Source organism: Homo sapiens, chromosome 8, assembly GCF_000001405.40.
Source record: "Homo sapiens chromosome 8, GRCh38.p14 Primary Assembly".
Taxonomy (NCBI): Eukaryota; Metazoa; Chordata; class Mammalia; order Primates; family Hominidae; genus Homo; species Homo sapiens.
In genome coordinates this window covers 59,015,831-59,035,436 of record NC_000008.11, presented here as the reverse complement: position 1 = coordinate 59,035,436, position 19,606 = coordinate 59,015,831, and the positions used below count along the sequence as shown (strand labels likewise).

General features: G+C 37.1%; 1 protein-coding gene across 1 annotated transcript in view, besides 1 other annotated feature; it reads left to right on the top strand.

Annotated features, from left to right (window-relative positions):
• TOX (thymocyte selection associated high mobility group box) overlaps positions 1–19,606 on the top strand; it is a 313,736-nt gene that overhangs the window by 83,711 nt on the left and 210,419 nt on the right. The window lies entirely within an intron of this gene.
• Positions 4,360–6,782: an enhancer, noted in NCBI's record as "VISTA enhancer hs1326". NCBI's record gives its function as "enhancer in: forebrain[6/8]" and the evidence as "EXISTENCE:transgenic organism evidence [ECO:0001131][PMID:17130149]".

Genomic DNA, 19,606 nt, shown 5'->3' with positions numbered 1-19,606 from the left:
CCTCTGTGACTAGCCACTGTGTTCTAGCCTGGACAACACAGTAAGATCCTGTCTCTGAAAAATAAGGAATGGAAGGTAGACATAATTTGGGAATTACTGTTTTGCTGTAGTCACCATAACTTGCATTAAATTATTGGCTCTAATTTTCATCTACACACATTTATGTTGCTTAGCAATAAAATCTGTTGTTTTATTGGATTAAGTTTATGGATTTATGTTTTTATGGATAGTAATTTAGTATTTTTTCCAGCTGAAATCTAGTTAGACAAATTTAGTACCAGAGTAGGCTAATGAGCATGGTAACATTCTGTGAAAGTGGCACTCAAGATAAACTGGGGTGGTTGCGGTGCAGTTAGAAAGACAGGTGTGCTGCCCCATTCCCTGTGGCTTTCCTTCCGCCCACACCTGGGAGGATCAGAGCACCTCCAGAGCGTCTCCTCCCAGGGCCCTGCTCTTCCCCTCTTTCCACCTTCCCTTCCACTTCCTGACCTTGAGACTTTGAGCTGGTTCTTAACTTCTGTGTGTCTCAATTTGCTCACTTATAAAATGGGGATGATACTCATTCCTACCCCGTAGGGTTGCTGTGTGGACAAAATGAGCTTCTTTGCAAGGCCTTTGAATGGCACCTGGCACATAATGAGAGCCGTGTAGGTATTTGTTCTAATTATTATTGCCTTTTCTTTCTCTAACTTGCCATTTTCTTCCCTTACTCTCAAACATCCAAATGCAAAAGGGGATGATGGTGAGCTGGTGAGGTGAAGGTGAGATGCTGCTTAGAAATTCACCTTGGGTTTTCTTGAGTGAGGGTGCAGAGAACTCTTCAGCTGTCTTCCAGGGCTTTCCTGCTCAACACTGGACTTGGACGAAAGCATCAGACAGACAGGACCAAGCCATTCTGTTTTCATTTTAAAGGAGATAGGAAGTTGTGTCAAGTGTCACCTTTCACTGGTAATCCATTTTAAGCATTGGATATTGCTCTTCGTGGGGGTGGAGGTGGGGGACAGGGTGGGGATAGGGAAGGATATCTGGATAAGGCTATATTCTCCAGTTGAGCTGGGAGTAGATGCCTAACCTCACCCCCTCGCTCTTGCGTCAGCGCTGGCATTTGGGTAGCAGTTTGTGTAGTAATTATCATAGAGATTACTTTAAAATAGGACTGGCATAGATTTCAATCTTATCTGGTAACGGTTAACTTATTAATGATCGTTTGGGACTGTTGGCAGCTGTTCTATCTTTAAACTGTGAGACAGATACAATCTCTCAAACTGCACGGGATAAGCAATTGGATGGGAGACCAGGAAGAGCTCCTCGATATTGCAGGAAGGGTTTTCAAGAAGTCAGCCTCCGTCAGTCTGATGGGAACTCGTTGGGGAGGATACCTGGAAGGTCCCTTTATGGATGGTGCATGTGCAAGGCAAAATCTTGGCCACTTGCAGATTTTTGTTTGGGTACATTTTCTTTCAGTGTGCTTCCCTGAAGATTCCAAGGACTTTCAGTCTGAAAGGGCAGGAGCAGCTAAGAAATTACTGTCAGTGTCTATGTTGAGGCCGCCCTATCTGCTAAGGTCACAGGAGCAGCCCCACATGTTCTTGCTACCAGAAAACACATTCTCTAGAATAGATCACTCAAGAGGTTAGGCTGTGAACACAGTCTTTAAATACATTCCAGTGTGGGCTCTGTCGGAAATAGTTCCCTTCCCCTGACGTGATGGAGAGATTGGATATATAATATGGTTTGCCCCAATTCGACTAAGACCACTTTTCTTGGTGATAGACTGTCCTAACTCATACCTTAGCAAACATTTACATTTATGTCTGGAATAAATTCTAGCTGATCCCTCCTTTCTTGTAATAGTGGCGACTGGGCATCGACCTTTTTATTATTGTGGAAAAATTCACATAATATGAAATTTACCATTTAAACCATTTTTCAGTGTGCAGGTGCAGTGGCATTAAGTACTTTCACACTGTTGTGCAACCATCCACCACCACTCATCTCCTCAAAGTTTTCATCATCCCCAACTGAAATTCTGCATCCTCTGGTATCTCCCCATTCTTCCCTCTGCCAGCAACTTGTAACCACTGTAGACAGTTCATTTTTAGCATGTGTTTTTCACTGAGTGCCTACTGTGTGCTAGGGGCACCAGCCTGGCAATAGAATGGTGAGTGAGCCTTCTAGGATCTCATAGGAGGAGTGTCAAAGAATTTGGGGACCATGTTTTAAATCCTGTCCAACTCACAATGGGAGAGTCATGCTCTGGAATTAAGAGGAGTATGGGCATAGCCAAGTTTTGGCCACGAGGAGAGGCTTCTTAAGAGAGATATCCAAATTGAATCTTAACTTCTCTTAGCCTTGGTTTCTTTTTTTCTTTCTTGTTTTCTTTTCTTTTCTTTTTTTTTTTTTGAGTTGGAGTTTCACTCTGTGGCCCAGGATGGAGTGCAATGGCACAATCTTGGCTCACTGCAACAATCTCTGCCTCCCAGGTCCAAGCAATTCTCCTGCCTAAGCCTCCAAGTAGCTGGGATTACAGGTGCCTGCCATCACGTCCAGCTAATTTTTTGTAGTTTTAGTAGAGACAGGGCTTCACCATGTTTGCCAGGATGGTCTCTTAAGAAACCTCAAGAGATCTACCCACCTCAAGAGATCTGGCCTCAAGAGATCTACCTGCCTCAGCCTCCCAAAGTGCTGGGATTACAGGCGTGAGCCACTGTGCCCAGCAGTTTCTTATTATATAAAATTGAGATAACATTGACCTTAGAGGGTATCCATGAGCTTTAAGTGAAATGGTGTAATTGAAGCACCTAACACATTGCCTGGACTCACAAAGCAATCCTAAATGTCAGAGTTTCATTATTATTAAAGAAAGGGCAGGCATTAGCCAGAGGTATAGGTGAAGAAGGAGGAATGCAATTGGAGGTGATGGCATGGGCAGAAGTTCCAAGGCACCAGACTGCGGGGTGTCCTCTGAAGACTGCAAAGAAGGAGCTGTCACAAAACTGAAAACAATGTTTGTTGGTGGAGTCATTAATAATAGTGAATATGAAAGAAATTATTCAATGTGTCATTAATATAATAGTAAATATTAAAATTTTAAGTAACATTGGACATTATTTCTGTTATTTGATTTTACTGTGTCACAGCTCCACTATAAACTTAAAGTGGCCGTAAGAGAACTCTAGACTTTTTCCTTAAACTGTTCTTTCCCCAGTATTTCCATCCTAGTTACTTAGGGCTACATCCTTAAGGTCATCTTGAATCTCACATCACTTCTCCTTCACTCCCATATTGGGTCCATCTCTTCCTCTCCATTTCTGATATTCCTGCTCTAGCCAAACCATGAGTGCAGCTCGTATGGATTGCTTTAGAGGCTTTCTAACTAGTCTCCTTGATTTTCCACTTACTCCCCTACCATCCCTTTTTCACCCAGAAGATAGAGAGAGAAAACATTAAGCATTAAGTCAGATGATGCCACTGATTCACATACAAATCTTTAGTTTCTTTTCATTGAACTGAGGGGGAAAATCCAATTTCTCTTTATGTACTCAAGACCATGCATTTTCCAGACCTTTTCCATCTCTCCAATCTCATTTTGTATTTTTCTCTGGTTTATTTATTAGTTTATTTTTAATGTCCTTCACATAGGCCAAACTTATTCCCACCTCAGGGTCACAGCCCAACCTGCTCGCTCAGTCTGGAACAATCTTCCTTGAAGCTAGCTTGTTGTCATTCAATTCTCAGCTTAAATGTCACCTCCTCAGAGAGGCCTTCCTTGATTGCCCAGTCTAAAACATCTTCACTATTCAATCTCAATCCTTACATCTTGCTTTGCTTTCTTCATAGATCTGTGTGCTTGGAAGTTTTCCCATTTGTTGGTTGACCTTGTTTGCCTCTCCCCACTAGAATTTAAGCTCCTTGAGAGCAGGGATATACATGCCCCATCTTTTTGTTCCCTAATTTATACCCAATGATTAGAACAGCGCCTGGAACATAGCGTGTGCTCAGTTAAGTATTGGCCAAATACTTAAGCACATGAATCTTATATAAAATCAATAAATGGTTGATGTATGCCCAGTTGGTGTGAAACATAGGCACCTGCAATGGGCACTGGGATGAGAAACTTGTACATCTTGTCCTAGAAGTTTTCAAGCTCAATGAAGTAACCAACACATAAACAATTTCAATGTGCCATTAGTTGAGACTAATGAAATATCAGAACTTTAAGTGTGAGTTATTATTTTCTATAATGCCTTAATCTAATCCCCTTCCTCCAATCTAATTCATCTCTTCCTTGTTCTTTTCACACCTATGGTCTTTCTTGCTCACCTGTCATACCCAACTGGAATGTGTCATACCAACTGGGCTCCAAAGTGGAAAATTGCTTATACTTCTTTGTACCCCCAATAATTTTTTCTCTGCATATGGCAAATACATCTTAGTTGATAATTGTATTGATTGACTAACAATTAATATGAATGTGATACTTCATATCAAATGTTTAGATGTGTTTTTGCCATGAAATTCTGATGTATGATGTTTCTGACACAATGACTCAGTATGTGGATAGAAAAGCTTTATAGAAAAAATGAGAGGAAATTCTGATTCCCATTGAAAACACACACAGGTAATGCCTACTTTTCCAAAAGTTAACAGAGGAAATCCTTGTGGCCATAGTGTAAACATTGTAAATAAGCAGTCTGTTATCAATCATGTTTTATTACCGTTGGAACATGTTGAATGCTTTGATAATGACCTCGGGAGCCAGTAGCCTCAGTAACCTAGATGTTACCAAGGAACTCTAGAACAGCTCAAAGCCTAAAACATTGACCTTCAACCTGCCTGGAAGCAGATGGAACACTTTGTGAACAACTGGCCATGTGTAAATGTTAACCTGTTTACTTAGTGACGTTAGAAGCAGCAAACGAGCGCGTATGCTTATGTTTTTCCATTTCGTAGAGCTTCAGTGGCTTTTGTTAAGAAAAGTTCTTCAAATATTAAATAAAAGGCTGGGAAATATTAGATTCATTAGCAATGTACAACTTACTACCATTACTTTAGCAGCAACTGTGCAGTGCGCTTAAGAGAAGTAACATTAACAAACATTACTTATTTCTGTGGTTGTCAACATTTAATTAAACAGGGCCCCTACATCTTAAGATGTCACTGTTTTGTATATGTGCAATAAAAGGTTTAAATTAAAATACTGTACAATTAGTTTGCATAGAAAAATGACTTTTGCAGACCTCTACAATAGACAGTTTAGAGAAATAAGCATTTTGTGTTTAAATTGTGCTCCTTAGTATTTTAAACAGATGGCAATGGCTTTCCTCTTGATTATAACTTTGAGGCATGCTTTACTAAATGGAATCAGCGGGGTTCATTAAGGTCCCATTTGATGTATCAGTATTATAAAAATACCATGTTAATTATCCTCAAACGTTGCAAGTTACCTCCATTTTCCTGCAATCAGAAGATGAGAGAAACCCTGTGAAGCAAATTAGTCCTAATTGAAAGAGGACTGATTAATATTTAAATAAGGCATTGTGTGAGGGATTCTGCCATGAGAAAAATAGGCTGAACATCTGAATTAATTGCATAGCAGGTTAAATTAAATTTCATATAATGGGTTGGAAGATGAGTTGGCACAGTGCTTTAGCAGTGAGCACAATGGCTGAAATACCAGTCTTTTCTTTCACTCTTGGCTGGATTCCATCGAGGTCCTTGTAGCCATTACCTCTTTGTTGTCTCTTTCAATGCAAACAAAGGTACTAACAGAAAATTGCTACCACATTTTAAAAAATGTTAATCCTTTTTGGGAGACAGCACCTGTCTACATTTTCTCCATTTCTCTTCCACCTTGTCTGTAAAATTGGGAAACATTAGTATCTTTTTCCTTGCCAGGTTTAATGAGGATTGATGTCATAAAATGCTAATGGCTGGAATATAGTTAGAATTGTGCTATTAGTGGGTTATCACTGTCTGACATTTTCACTGCACAGGAGCATGCATGTGGAGCCTGTTTAAAGTGATTGGGTTACTTAAGGGTCCCTGTTAGGGATATTTAATCCAACATAAATTACTTATGCACTTTGTTAGTGTTCAAAGGAAGAGTGTCACGTTGTACATGCTGGCAGTTTTCCAGTCAAGAGCTGTTAATTACTGTACAGCGACTGAATACATTTTGTGGCAGTGGAAGTCATGGGGATGGGGGGTGGGTGGGGACTATATCTATATTCCATCTAACTAAAAATGAATAAATGAGAGTGTATAGGAAAAGAAATAGACTGAAGTCATTTTTGCCCTTAGGAATTATAGTGCCATTTGTTTTCATTTTGAAAATAAAAACAAATGACAGTACGATTTCCTCCGAGGGAAAGTACTTTAGTTGTAAAGTATTTCTGTCCCAAAACGAGCAATTATCTATTTGTATGCTGATGAAAACCAAATAAATTTCCTGAAGCCTCAATTCAGAATTTTACAACTTTGTGAACCTCAAGGTTTGCTAAGTTATTGACTAATCAAGCCAAAAACTATAGCAATGATAAAAACAATTGAAAAAATATTTTACAGCTACCATAATGTTTCTAAAATTACCTGTTTACAAACTTAGGTAGATCAGCAATTGTCTTTTTAATGTAACTTTGAAGGATCGAGCAGACTTTGTTCATATTAAAACTATGAAATCTGCTATTGTTTGAAAACCTAAGTGGGAAAAAGAAAAGTTCTTTCAAAAAGTCTATTTTTCTGCTTTGAGTAACATTGCAGCCAAGTCAAGGAGCTGACGTAATCTATGTTCCTGAGTGTGCACCCCAGGTGTTATTTAGAAAAGTGTTCATAGGCAATATCTATATATGTATGTATGTATGTATGTATGTATGCATGTATCTATCTATCTAAATATCTATCTAGATATATGTTTATATCTGTCTATATATTAGATCTTCCCAATACTCTCCATTTGCCAAAATAGCCTGAAGCATATATTATGAATTTCTTTGCAAACAATTCATTTTTGATGTCTAAGAAACTATAAAATATATGGCTTCTAAGCCTTTGTAAAATAACCCCTTTTCTGAATTATGGCTCCAAATGAGGAACGTTTCATTTTTGTAGCTCGTATTATAGCCATTGGTTTTAAATTAAGACTTGGAAATATGTGCCTAGCATATTTATAAACTTCCTTTCGAAGGAAAAAAAAAAGTTCGTTCTTATTGAGGAATGATAAGTTAGGCACAACTGGGTCAAACACATGCTGCTATTTTAATAACAGAATTAAAATGTTTTGATTAGCAATATTAAAAAGAATTACTTATTAAGGGGAGCTCACTGCTATTTTATACAAATTCGTGGTAACAGATACAAATTCATGCAGTTAGTTCTAATGCTTAGTATATCATCTATTAATGAATTCATGCTTCGAAAGATTTCAAAGATGTTTCTTCTTTGAACACAGAGTTGTAAGACTTGATGTTAGGGAGTTGATTCCTAATAATTCACATGGGATATCAGTGAAATACAAAACCTGGCTAAATTTAACCAGCTAACAACCATGTGAATGAAGAGCAGTAGGTCACAGTTTTGCAAGAAAGGACCTATTACCATGTTCAAATATATAGAAGTCTATATTCATCTCTTGATGAGGATCATATGTGTACCGGCAACTCCTCTAAGGCTAATGGGAGTTCATCAGAAATATCATTTGTGCACTTCTGGGCAATGGACCAATCTCATGAGTAGATTGTGAGTGATGAGACTATTTCAATGAAGTCCGTAAAAAATCAGATTGGGCAAAGGTAATAATTCCTTCATAATTGGCTTAATGATGAGAGGAAACATGAAAAGATATAAATCTGTACAACAAATCAAGAATGTTTTAGAAAGGTACTTAGACTCAAACCAGTTGGTGCTGTCAAACAGAAAGACTGGTTTTAAAAAGAAAACATTTTCATGTTTTAAATCATCTTTCATTGAAAAATTTAAAAAAAAAAACCTTGTTCCTATGACATAAGGACCCATTTCATGTGACTAACACAGAAACAAAGACAATAAATTGCAAAAATGTCTGCAAATCTCGAAGATCACACTTTTTTTAAATCTGAAGTGTAATTGGAGGATACTTTCGTGGTCTGTAATTCTAGCATCTCTTAGGTAGACAGATATTTCTGCCTGCTGGAGATGTTATATGCTTTTATAAAATTTGGAACCTTCTTTGTAAGCAAGTGTTTTACTAACCAGTAGTGTTCCAGGGCCTAGAACTAGATAATCTGGACATAACTTTAGCATTAAACCAGAAACCAGAAACATTTCCTTTGTAGATTGCACCCAGTCTGTTTCTCTAGCAGGTGGTAGCTTTCATGGTGAGACCACGAATAAAGGGATGCAAAGGTGCAAACAGGGAACTAGCCAATGGAATTTTGGTAATCACGAAAGCCTTCAGCAGTCACCTTCCACCTCTTCTTCACTCCCCCTTCTCCATTGCTTCCCTCACTCCTTCTGGACTAATCACAGGGACACTGGTTTGGTTTTTTTTTTTTTTTTCCTTTCTCTCTCTTTCTCTTTAAAGAATTCTATAAATGTATTAAATTGTCTCATGCTCTTATGAAAATTTTGCATTCAAATATTTGGTGCTCCTGGGGCAAGACAGGCAGAAAATTGTCATTTGTTAAATACTGCAACTTCAGTAGGTGGAGCATATTTCTTTTGGATGACTTGAAACTTTAAGAAGTTAAATGATAGAATCACTCTGTGCAGTACATGGTACCTGAATGTCACTCAAATGGCAAGTGCTGTTAATAGCATTTCTCAGTGTCCAAGGGTTACAGGCTTATGGGACTGACAATAATAGTGGATTCTAGATCCTGTAAGCTTTCTTATCCAAATTCAGATTGCTAAAGGAAAATAGCTCATTTATCAGATTGAAAGAAATCCTTGGAGAGTCTATAGCACAATGCTGTGAAGTACATGCACGTGTAGTCCAGAAAAGTGATCAATCTCATCCCTGTGCCCTGCCTCCTTTTTTAGTTGTTTTAAAAAAATGAGATGTTTGTACTCATGGCCCACCAAGTTCCATTCTTCTATTGCTTTTCTTACACATTCCTCTCAGGCCTTCCTATTGGTCCATGACTTTGCTAGTTACTAAAACCTGTCCTCTAAGATGCCAGCAGCACTCTGAAGTAGGTCATCACAGTGACATGGGACCATGGACCGTCCTAGAAAGAGGACAGATCCAAAGTGTACACGGTTATTGTGCAGTTTCAATATTGACTCCACTGGGGCTCATTTAGTGTGTTCAATGAATGACTGAAAGAAAAAAAAAACATAAAATTAAGTGAAACAAATCTAGAACCCGTCAATGCCCTTGAATGAGCGCAGATAGAGCATATAAACTTGGTCTCATTTTTTTGCCACTCTTGAAACTTGCACCTCGATAAAGCTGTAGTCCTGTGTGTTTACACTCACGTGGTGCATTGCTTACAACCAGTTCAATTCTATTCAGTCACCCTTTTTGAGTACTGACTCCAAGACTGGAACTCCGTTAGTTCTGGAGGTAGAATCAGAGTGAGGCAAGGTCCTGGTCCTTGATGAGTCCCCTACATGGGGAAGGCAGTCCTATGAACACTGGATGCTGCTTCAGTATGAGAAGTGCAGTGACAATGATGAGGATGAAATTGGAGGGGAATGCAGGTAAGCGAACCATCTGCCTGGGGAAACAGGAGCTGGAGAGCCATTGAGAAGGTGACCTCTGAGTTGGGCCTTGAAGAAGAAAGTCACCAGGCCGATTGAGAGACTAGGGGGAGAAGGCAGAGAGGTGGGAAGATCACTGGATGTTCGCCAGCGGTGTGATCAGTAGGTGTGTTTAAAATGTGGCATTTATCAGGTTAGAATGGCTATAGAGAAGGCTAGAAGTGTAGGTTGGGATCCCTTTATGCTTGAAGGTCCTATGTGCCTGGCTAAGAACGTAAACTTTGCTGCTTACTTTATGTGTAGTCCTACCTTCCCGATTGGATAATGGTGAGCCTCCGTGGAGGGTGGACTGGCCTCAGTCTCATATTGGATGTACAGTAGGTATTTAACAAGTCTCTAGTGAATTAAATAAACAGCTGGTGAATTTATTGATTGAATGAACTTACCATTTCTTTCTTTTTGCATAAAACACCCCCACACAGACATATTATAATGAAGTCCCACTCGAGAAATAGCATAGAATCAGGGAATTTCATCCTGAGAGGGACCTTTAGGATCCTCTGGCCCAGATTATCAATCTTGCAGATGCGTACTGAGTGGCTCGCCCAAGGCTGCAGTACTAGGGGCTGTCAGGGCTGAAGCCTGGGCCTTCTGAGTCCAAGTTAACTGTACTTTACACTCTACCGTTTACCTACTAAGATTTTCTGAAATGCCGCTTTGTGGTAGAAATATGGAGATTGAACTTTCTTAAAGCATAAAGGGATTTCTGTGGCTACTATATATCATTTTCTGTTAATAGTTGATATTTAAAAACACTTCACTATGATCTTTAATAATCCTATTAATTAAAAACTTTGCCAAATTTGACTGGCTTTGGAATTGACATTTACTTTAATAATTTTACTTTTAAAAGAAAATGAATCTTGGCTATGTTGTCACTGTAAATTGTATGGGATAATCACACGGCCGCTTTTCCAGAGCTCAGACACTTTTTTTTTTCTTTTTCGGGGGTAAAGACAAGCACACAGAAGTTAGTTTTTAAAAAGTAGCAGCCAGAAGAGATATAATTCAGATTATCTGAAACTCACATCCTATACACAGCCTAGCTGGGTTAGTGATAAGATTTCCTAGACCACTGCATTTAGCAGCAGCAAATTATAAAGAGGGCTGCTGGCTACCATGTCAGGCCGCTAGCTGAACACAAAAACGTGACAGCCTGACAGGTATGTAGGATCTGGACGAACTGTTTTTAAAATACCTACTCTTAAGAATTTAAGAAGCATAAAGGCCTGGGGCCATTTTCTTTGACACTTAGTAGCTACTGAGAATATCTTCTTTTATGGAAAATTATAGTAATTAATGTTCCAACCCAAAATTCTGATTTATCAAGAAAAAGGAAGCTATAAGCTTTTTAGTAAAGCGTTGATTACACAATTCACTTTAGAAATATTTTTATCTAAAATTGTTCAAATGCTGTGAAATATTTATTTCTAAACTATAAGCGAAAATAGCTATCCAGACAGTTTATCTCTTAATATCAACAAGCACATACTGAATACTTCTCATATGTCAGGCACTAGGTGATTACACAGATTCAGAGGTCTGAGGCTTGCCATCAAGAAGTTTATAATCCAGTGCGAGAGAGAGAAAGACACAGATTCAGAGAAGGACTTCCCCAGGATGTTCTATTAATATACAGCTATTTCTTTTTCTTTTCTTTATATTGCCTTTTCTTTTCATTACCTTTATTGAGCTTAAGTATGCTCTTGATTGTAGTGAAAACTATAAACTCTTTTCTTCCATGTGCCCAACTTGGAATTCTCTTCTCTGATTTTCCCATAACTTAACTGAAGTGAGAACTTTGGGGAGTTCAAGCACTGTTTCACTTATTTCCTTTTTCAAGCTCAAGCTTTGTGACCAACAGATGACTATAATCATTTTAGGGTATGACATTTTTTTAGAAGGACAGGAACCCGTTTATCTGGCACAACACTCTGTGTTGGAGTCAGTATTACTATTCCCATTTTGTAGGTGAGAAAAGAAAGATTCAGAGAAGTGAAATGCATTTACTTGATTTCACACAGCAAATAAGTTGGGTTGGCATTTAGCAATAGTCTCTATTCCAAGAAGGTAAATCTTAGTGACCTTCCATGTCATTAGAACAGTCAAAACTTCTCAACTATGGAAAAATAATAGGGTCCTTTATTTGTAATGTAGTGGAAAGAGCCATAGACTGAGTCTCCTATGATGAGTTGTGTTACTAAGTGGTGGTGGGATTTCGAGCAGATGACTTAACTTCTCAGAGTTGCCTTCTCCAACTGTAAAATTCAGAGACTGACCAGATAAAATATGTATTGTAAAATCTGTTATGTGATTCTCAAATATTGAAAATTAGAGTCATAGAGTACCTTCAGGTATTTTCACAGCTCATGAGAGTGTGAAAGGTGCATGCAACACTCTTGTAAAGATTAGGGATTATCATAGTAACAGGCACAGGTTGGACATTAACTGTGTACTAAACTGGATTCATAAATTATTCTCAAAATGATATGAAGTGCACTGAACACACATAAGCTAAGCTATAGGCTCAAAAGTCTTCTTATAAACCTTCAGTTTCTCAGCGAGATTGGTCCTCAAAGCAGGTTTGCTGCACATCATTGGTCTGAACTTCAAAAATTGCAGAGTGGAAGTCATACACCACTGAGATTTTCATAATTTAAATGTGACTGTTTATGAAAGGAGTTAGAGCTCATAATAGTAACTGGTTTCTAGCCATTTGAGAATGGTGTGTGTGCTTTTCATAGAAGCTTTTCACCTTTCACCTCCCACTGGAGTAGTGAAGGTCTCAATTCCAAACTGTAAGCTGGGTTTTGCTGTCATCCTTCAAGACAGCATTTGTCTAGGCAAAGTGAGCCAACGGTCAAGACCACCACAGGCACTGTTCAGATATACTGGCCTTTCATTCCTAGCTCCTGATTGCTCACCTGTCTATTTCTAGTTGTGAATCATCCATTATCACTTTTAAATCCCATATTCAAGATCTGCTTCCACCTAGACATCTTAGATGAGCCTTTCTTCACTATGAGTTTACCAGTTGCTACGTTTTAAGAAGCAGAAATAATTTAAGCAAAAGCAAATCAATCATCCTGTAATCTGAAAAGTAAGATCACACAATTTACAATTTATGCATGTATCGAGGCAGTGTGAGGTAAAGGAAAAAGCAAGAATTACGGAGCTGAATGTGCATGGGTTTAAATCCCGTTGGCTGTTAGCTGTGTGGAATTAGGGAAGGTACATGACCTCTTTCATTTCTTCATTTGTAAATGGGGTCTAGAAAGCCGGTGTTATAGAGTTGTGTGGTTTAAATGACAGTGTACATAAAGCTCTCACATAGAACATGTCGGAGTCTTTGGTTGGGTTTTCTACACTGATCCTCCCCCTCCATTAGTGAGATAATTGTGGGTGACTGAAATGAAAATGAATGAGTTTAAAGACTGGGAACATGCCAATGAAATTCACAAAACTCACCAAACTTAAGTTTAACTCCATTTCACTATATGATTAGAGTTTCTAAATCATAGTTAAAATATTCAGTCTAATTTAGAAAATCTAAATTGATATCATGATGGTTCATAAACACCTTCTGCATTTAATCAGGGGTGCAACTTAAATTTCCTAATTAAAAATGGTGACACTTTAGAGGGAGGTAAGTGACAAATGGTTTCTGTAATAATCCCTTCATAGGAAATGTGAGCTATTTTGTAACAAAAAATAACATTACATGTAGACTTCAAAAATTTCTCACATACAGACTGACTAAATGATGATTTGGGTGATTTTTCTCCTTTCTCTTCTGTTATAGATCCACAAGGAAATATTGTAGCTTTTATCACCTAATAAAATTTAATAGAAAGTTTCAGGAAAAGTTAATAAAAAGATGGTATGAATCCAGGTGTGACGGTTGGAATTTCAATCATGATTTTGATTCTCTGCATATATTTGAAGGAAAATCAAAATGGTATATACCAGTTTATGGTAATTTTTAAGAGGTGCCTACAACAGGAGTCACCTTGTTTTAGAGAACTATTTCACTATTCGAGAAAACCAATCTATTTTTGTATTTTGGATATGTTCCAAATTGTAGGTCCTGTAGAGACTTTCCTTTCTGGAGGATTACCTGCTCAGTTAAGAAACAGTGTCAGATTTATATCTATCTCTATCTCTATCTATATATATCTGACATTGTATATATGTGCATATATATATATATATATTTTTTTTTTTTTTTTTTTGCTTGTAGAAAAACCTGTTGCCTGGCAAAATTTAACAAGTGACCTTTTTTCCTGACAACAGATGGCAGTATTTTCAGGGACAATAGCCATGTATTTATTAGCTACCAGAGAATCTCATACTACATTTCTTTCTCCAACCTCCCCCTCCTGCTTCCCCACTTCCCTAATCAGGAGCTAGTGTGCACAGGAGAGCTTGGTTAGCACTTTGACTTCATGCAATTTTTTTTTAATAGAAAAAAAAAGGCTGGAATGAATTATCCCTTTGTTAAAAAGTTTTAAGTTTTAGATACATTTTCTGCTGTTACATTGGTTTAGAGAAATTAAATTTTACAACTCTTTTTTTTTTTTTTTTTTTGAGACAGGGTCTGGCTCTGTCACACAGGCTGGAGTGCAGTGGCATGATCACAGCTGACTGTAGCTTCAAACTCCCAAATGATTCCCTGGCCTCAGCCTCCTGAGTAGCTGGGACTACAGGCATGTACCACCATGCCTGGCTGATTCTTTTTTATTTTTTGTAGAGACACAGTATCACTATGTTGCTCAGGCTGGAACTCTATTCCTTTAATAAAAGGAAAAGCTTCTTTTGTACATAGGAATGATTACTATTGCCTAAACTATATTCTATAGATACAACTTTAAGTAAACTTGATAACTATCAAAATGCATTTTTATTTACAATGGGAAGTTTACTATACTTATAAAGGGTATGGTAATGTAAAAGTATGGTACATAATGTAATGGTATGTGCACGTATAAATGGTAAATAATGTAGTGGTATGCACATGGTATGTAAAGGCAACGTAAAAGCATGATCATGCAATGTAAAAGTATGATAATACTTTTACATGACACTTAAAAAGAAATTGTAAGATGTCTGATGATATGCCTGTTCATACAGGCACATGGCATTTTAGGACTTTGACAGGAGCTATATCTTAAATACTGTATCGCATTCCTGTAGCACTTGATTGTGCATTATAGTTGTGGGCATGGAGAAACATTGATTCTGAGCTGGGCTGGAAAGTAGAGTGAGTTTTGGACATGCAGAGAGGATAAAGAAAAGCATTCTCAGCAAAGAGTAGCAGTAGAAGTCCTCACAGCGGGTGGGACATCATGGAAATGACAAATATTAATAGTTGAGCTTATCCTAAGTGAAATGATTGGAAGATGGGGTTGTACCAAATTGTGAAGATCCTTGAATGACTCTGTGGGCCTGCAGTTTTCACATTAAAAACAAGAACTCTGTCCTTTCCTGTAAATACTTGAGTGGAAGCCCAGTATGGTTTATGAAACAAATACTTTCTATAGTGGTTTTGAAGCCTATTCCTGAAAACATTTCCACAAAATTTGTAGTACTGTACTATCTTCCGAGCTAAGGTTGAAAACTAGCATTGTAGAAACAACTCATAGGCAAGGCATAAATTCATTCATTTATTTGTTCATTCATTTTACAAGCTGAGTACCTACTATGTGCCATGCAGTTGTAAGTATATAGTATTTCATATTTAATCTTGAAGAGTGAACTATGTATGATTCATTTGAGAGATGCAGCTGAGTTCCATCAGGAGAAAAATATTTTGCAAAGCAAATCAACTTCTAAGTGTTACATGGCCGAATTGTAGAATATATGAAATACACTGCTCACCGAGTGAAATGATAATCTGTAATGATTCCAAAGTAGAAACACACACATATTATGCATACTCTCATTCCATTTTATATGGTCAAATATAAATATCATATATATGGCTACACACACAGAAAATATTCATCTGTTGTTCTAAATGATTTGTATCTATATGAAATGACAAGAGTAAACCCATTAAATTATATTTTTGTTTTACTTACAAATATATTCTTAATATTTTGTCAATTGAGACACAAATTAAATTTCATTTTTGGCTAGGCAATCATTTTTGTGTTCTCTTCAACTTTCGACACTAGTTTGTGTCTGCTGTGTAAAAAGTAGAATGGCTGTCCTATTTCTGTCTGTTTCCATTACACTATTCTTTCTGTGCCACATTCTCTTTCTCTCTGTGCCTAGTGGGACATTAAAGGTTCTGTAATTATTTTGATAAGATCAGGATTGTGGATTTTTTTGGTTCCACTTAGTTATTTGCTAATAATCTGGCTTTAATGCTGAAGGCTAACCAATTTCTTATTTAACAATGCATGTTTAAAACATGATACCCTGAAGAATACTATGTTTACTAGTCTGTAGTCTATCAATTATCTAAATTATGTAATTATCCCTCAATTTTAGGAAACATGCTATATAATGTTTAAATTTTGTACACTAAAGAAAGCAAATGAATGTTGAGTATTAACGAAAGTAAATGATGTATCCTGGTGAGAAAATTAATCAGGATCTACCTATGAAAAAAATTTTATAAAATAGGGATTATCAAACAATACAAAATCTTATACTCAGAAACTAAAATGGGATAACAATAGTGATTACCCAGGCTACAAGGCTTAACAATGAAAACAGAACTCTTAGACATCTAAGGAACTGTCCTGGCAAGTTAAATCATTGAGAATCAACCATGAGCTAGGCTAACCATAATAATCCATATCTTTAAAAATTACAATTATTCTGTTCTCAGTCCTGGGTAGTCATAGTGGGATTGTTGAGGCTATTCCCTAAAATTTAGGGGTTTTTTTAATCAGCAAGAAAGGCATTAACTATGAATATATTGCTAAAATCAAGAAGAAAAGTTCAAACTTTCAGGTCCACAGTTGTTGAACTCACCCTGGGGAGTCCACAGTAAGCCTCAAGCCAGTGTTGGTTCTGGGTTCTGCAGGAGGAGTGAAGAAACTCCGGAACACCCCAGAGAGTAAAATGGTGGGAAAGCACGTGGGGTATATGGATTTAGAATCCTTCCGTGTGACTCGGAACCCCTGGGAAATCTTGCAATAGAGACATTCATTGACTTGTTTAACCTTGCATGTCCCAACTTACTTAATCTATTGGAGCGTGACATACTATCCATACTGTGGAACCGACTTTGGGAAACGCTATTCTGGAATCTTCCTGATATTGAAATAAAACTTGAGAGCTCCTCTGTGTTGCTAAGCCCAACTGCCAGGGCAAAAGGTAGGGGACAAAAGGGAGAGGAATTCTCCAGAGCCTTCCCAGTTCCCTGTTCCCACTGACACACCCATTTCAGATATTTTCTTTCTCACCTGGGTTCTTGTCCACAAAAATGTCAAGTCTGCCCCTGAGAAGATGGTGTAAAACTACCATACTATGACAACAAATATAAAATAGGACTGTCGATTTCCTTAAAACCTTACCATTTCAATGGCTGAAAATATTTTGTTGAACAGTGGCACATTATGAATCTACTCAGTCTTTGCTTGGAATTTATGGTCCTAAATAAAAGTAAAAATTAGATTACTCATAAAAATATAAAAAATAAAGCCTTTATGCAACAGGGAGTAAAAAACAGTGCTTTGTATCTATCGTTTGCCATTGGGGTTGTTGGTATAATGGAGAATGTACACTCTCTCTTTCTCTTTTTGACTAGAACACATCAATGTAAGCAGTTGAGGGAGACGGAAACCAACTGTTTTTCCATTCACCTTATTATTGAGCTGTGGTTATAGAACTTCCTTTTTTGTTATCAAAAGATCTGAACTAAAGCTTCAGTTATGCAGGGAGAAAGAGTTAACATTTAAAAGTGTAGAAAAATAGCTCTAGACACCTGTTCCGAGTTTGTAATATAATACTCAGAATAATATTACCTGGTGAATTGCAGTTAAAAACTGGTGTAAGAAGCATGGCTTATTATACTGTCTATCACATATTCAACGTAATTGTTCTTGTTTATTCCTTTTACTTAAGTTTTAAAAACATGTTTCTTCTAAGAGATCTAGCACCTAACAGGTGTCTAATAATGGAATATCTCTATGAAAATTATCTCAAATTTATCCTCAGCAAAGGACAAACAAGTCATTCAATACTAGTTTAAGACAGACCTTGAAGCATTATAATTAACCAGCAAAGCACACTTGTTAAGCTGTTTCCCTCCAGGGGATGATACCGTGCCTCAGGTACCATTTTGAAGGATATTGTAGAGAGCTGAAGAAGTTAGTGAAAAATACTCTCTGATGCACAATGCCATTTAAAAAAATAAAGAAAAAGAAATCAAAGCATAATTTACATAGACAGGGTCTCTCCAAATTTCATTTACATATAGAATGTTTAAACAATATTATGAATTTCTAAACAGTGCTACAGTATGATAAGTAGCATATGTTTATTACAGCTAACTAAAGGTCTACTTGCGGAATGTTAGTAATACCAGCCTTAGAATTGTTTAGATAAGCTAGACGATGTCCTCGCAGCCTGGTGGAGGCAGCATGCCTCCCAGAGGTGAAACGTGGACTCTTCAAGGAGGAAGGATGCCATCTGTCCCCCTGGAAGAGTTCATGGCTATAAACAGTGAAGGAGCAATGTAGACATCTTCAGCCAGAAGTTATTAACCTTCATGCTAGAGGAGGTGATAGATAATATTGGGATTGGGAGGCTGACCCAGAAGCTCTGCTAGGCGCACACTCTACAAAGCTATAAAAGTCATAAGTAGAAATATTTTATCAAAAACTCAGTATCTTAGGACAGGTAAAGCAAATGGAATGGAATCATATGGTAAAAAATAATTTATTCATATCTATTAAGCTTATTTTGTTACATAAGCTTAAATGGCCTTTTCCTCTGCAGCTAGTTTGGATCCATTTGAATATAATACATGCCTTGTGACATTGCTTGCATTTTTGCTTTGTGATTTTGATCAAATGCAGAAAGAGAACCAAGGCATTCCTAATACAGAAATAGAATCTTTATTGGTTGAGGTCACATGATAAATAAATAGCAGTTTTACATGGTAATATTTATTTGAATATACTGCTGCATCTATTATGAGCATAAGTGCTTATAGAATCATTTACTGACATTCATTTTTAGTTGAGCCATAGTTAGCAGTAGTGGTGTTTCTGTAATTGACATTTAACACTTGAATATATTTAATACAATGTATACTAATTGTGTTTGCCCAGATTAATGAGTCACAATTTTAAACAGGGAAAATTAAATTGATACTTTAATTAAGTGGATCACTCCAGTTTTGGGGGGAAAGTGAGTTATGTAAATAAAAATACTTCATAAAATAAATGGTTTATTTTGTCCTGGTTATTAAAAAATACCTGTTTTTATTATTTTTAACTGGTAGCAATTGAATAAGTGATGCTTGTTTTTGAATTCTTATGTATACCCCGGCATCCAGTATAATTCCTTGCACACAGTAGGCATTTAAATATTGATTATAAAAAATGATTTTTTTTAAGAAGAGAAGACCAATTTAGTGACTACATTTTACTAAAAATTGAAGTCATAAATATGGATTTCTTTAAACTAATTTGTTATTTAGGTCATCAATATTAAACAGTCTGAAAATCGCCTGCTAGAGATTATCATTTAAGAGCATAAAACTGAAAGCTGGGGGAAAAAAGATTAGTGGTACCCAAGTATTTTCTGTATTATCTTTAATGCCAACATTTAAAGAGTAACAGCAATAGAAACATCTCAAATGACTAACCATTAAAGCTTAGCCTCACCATGACAAAATTTGCAT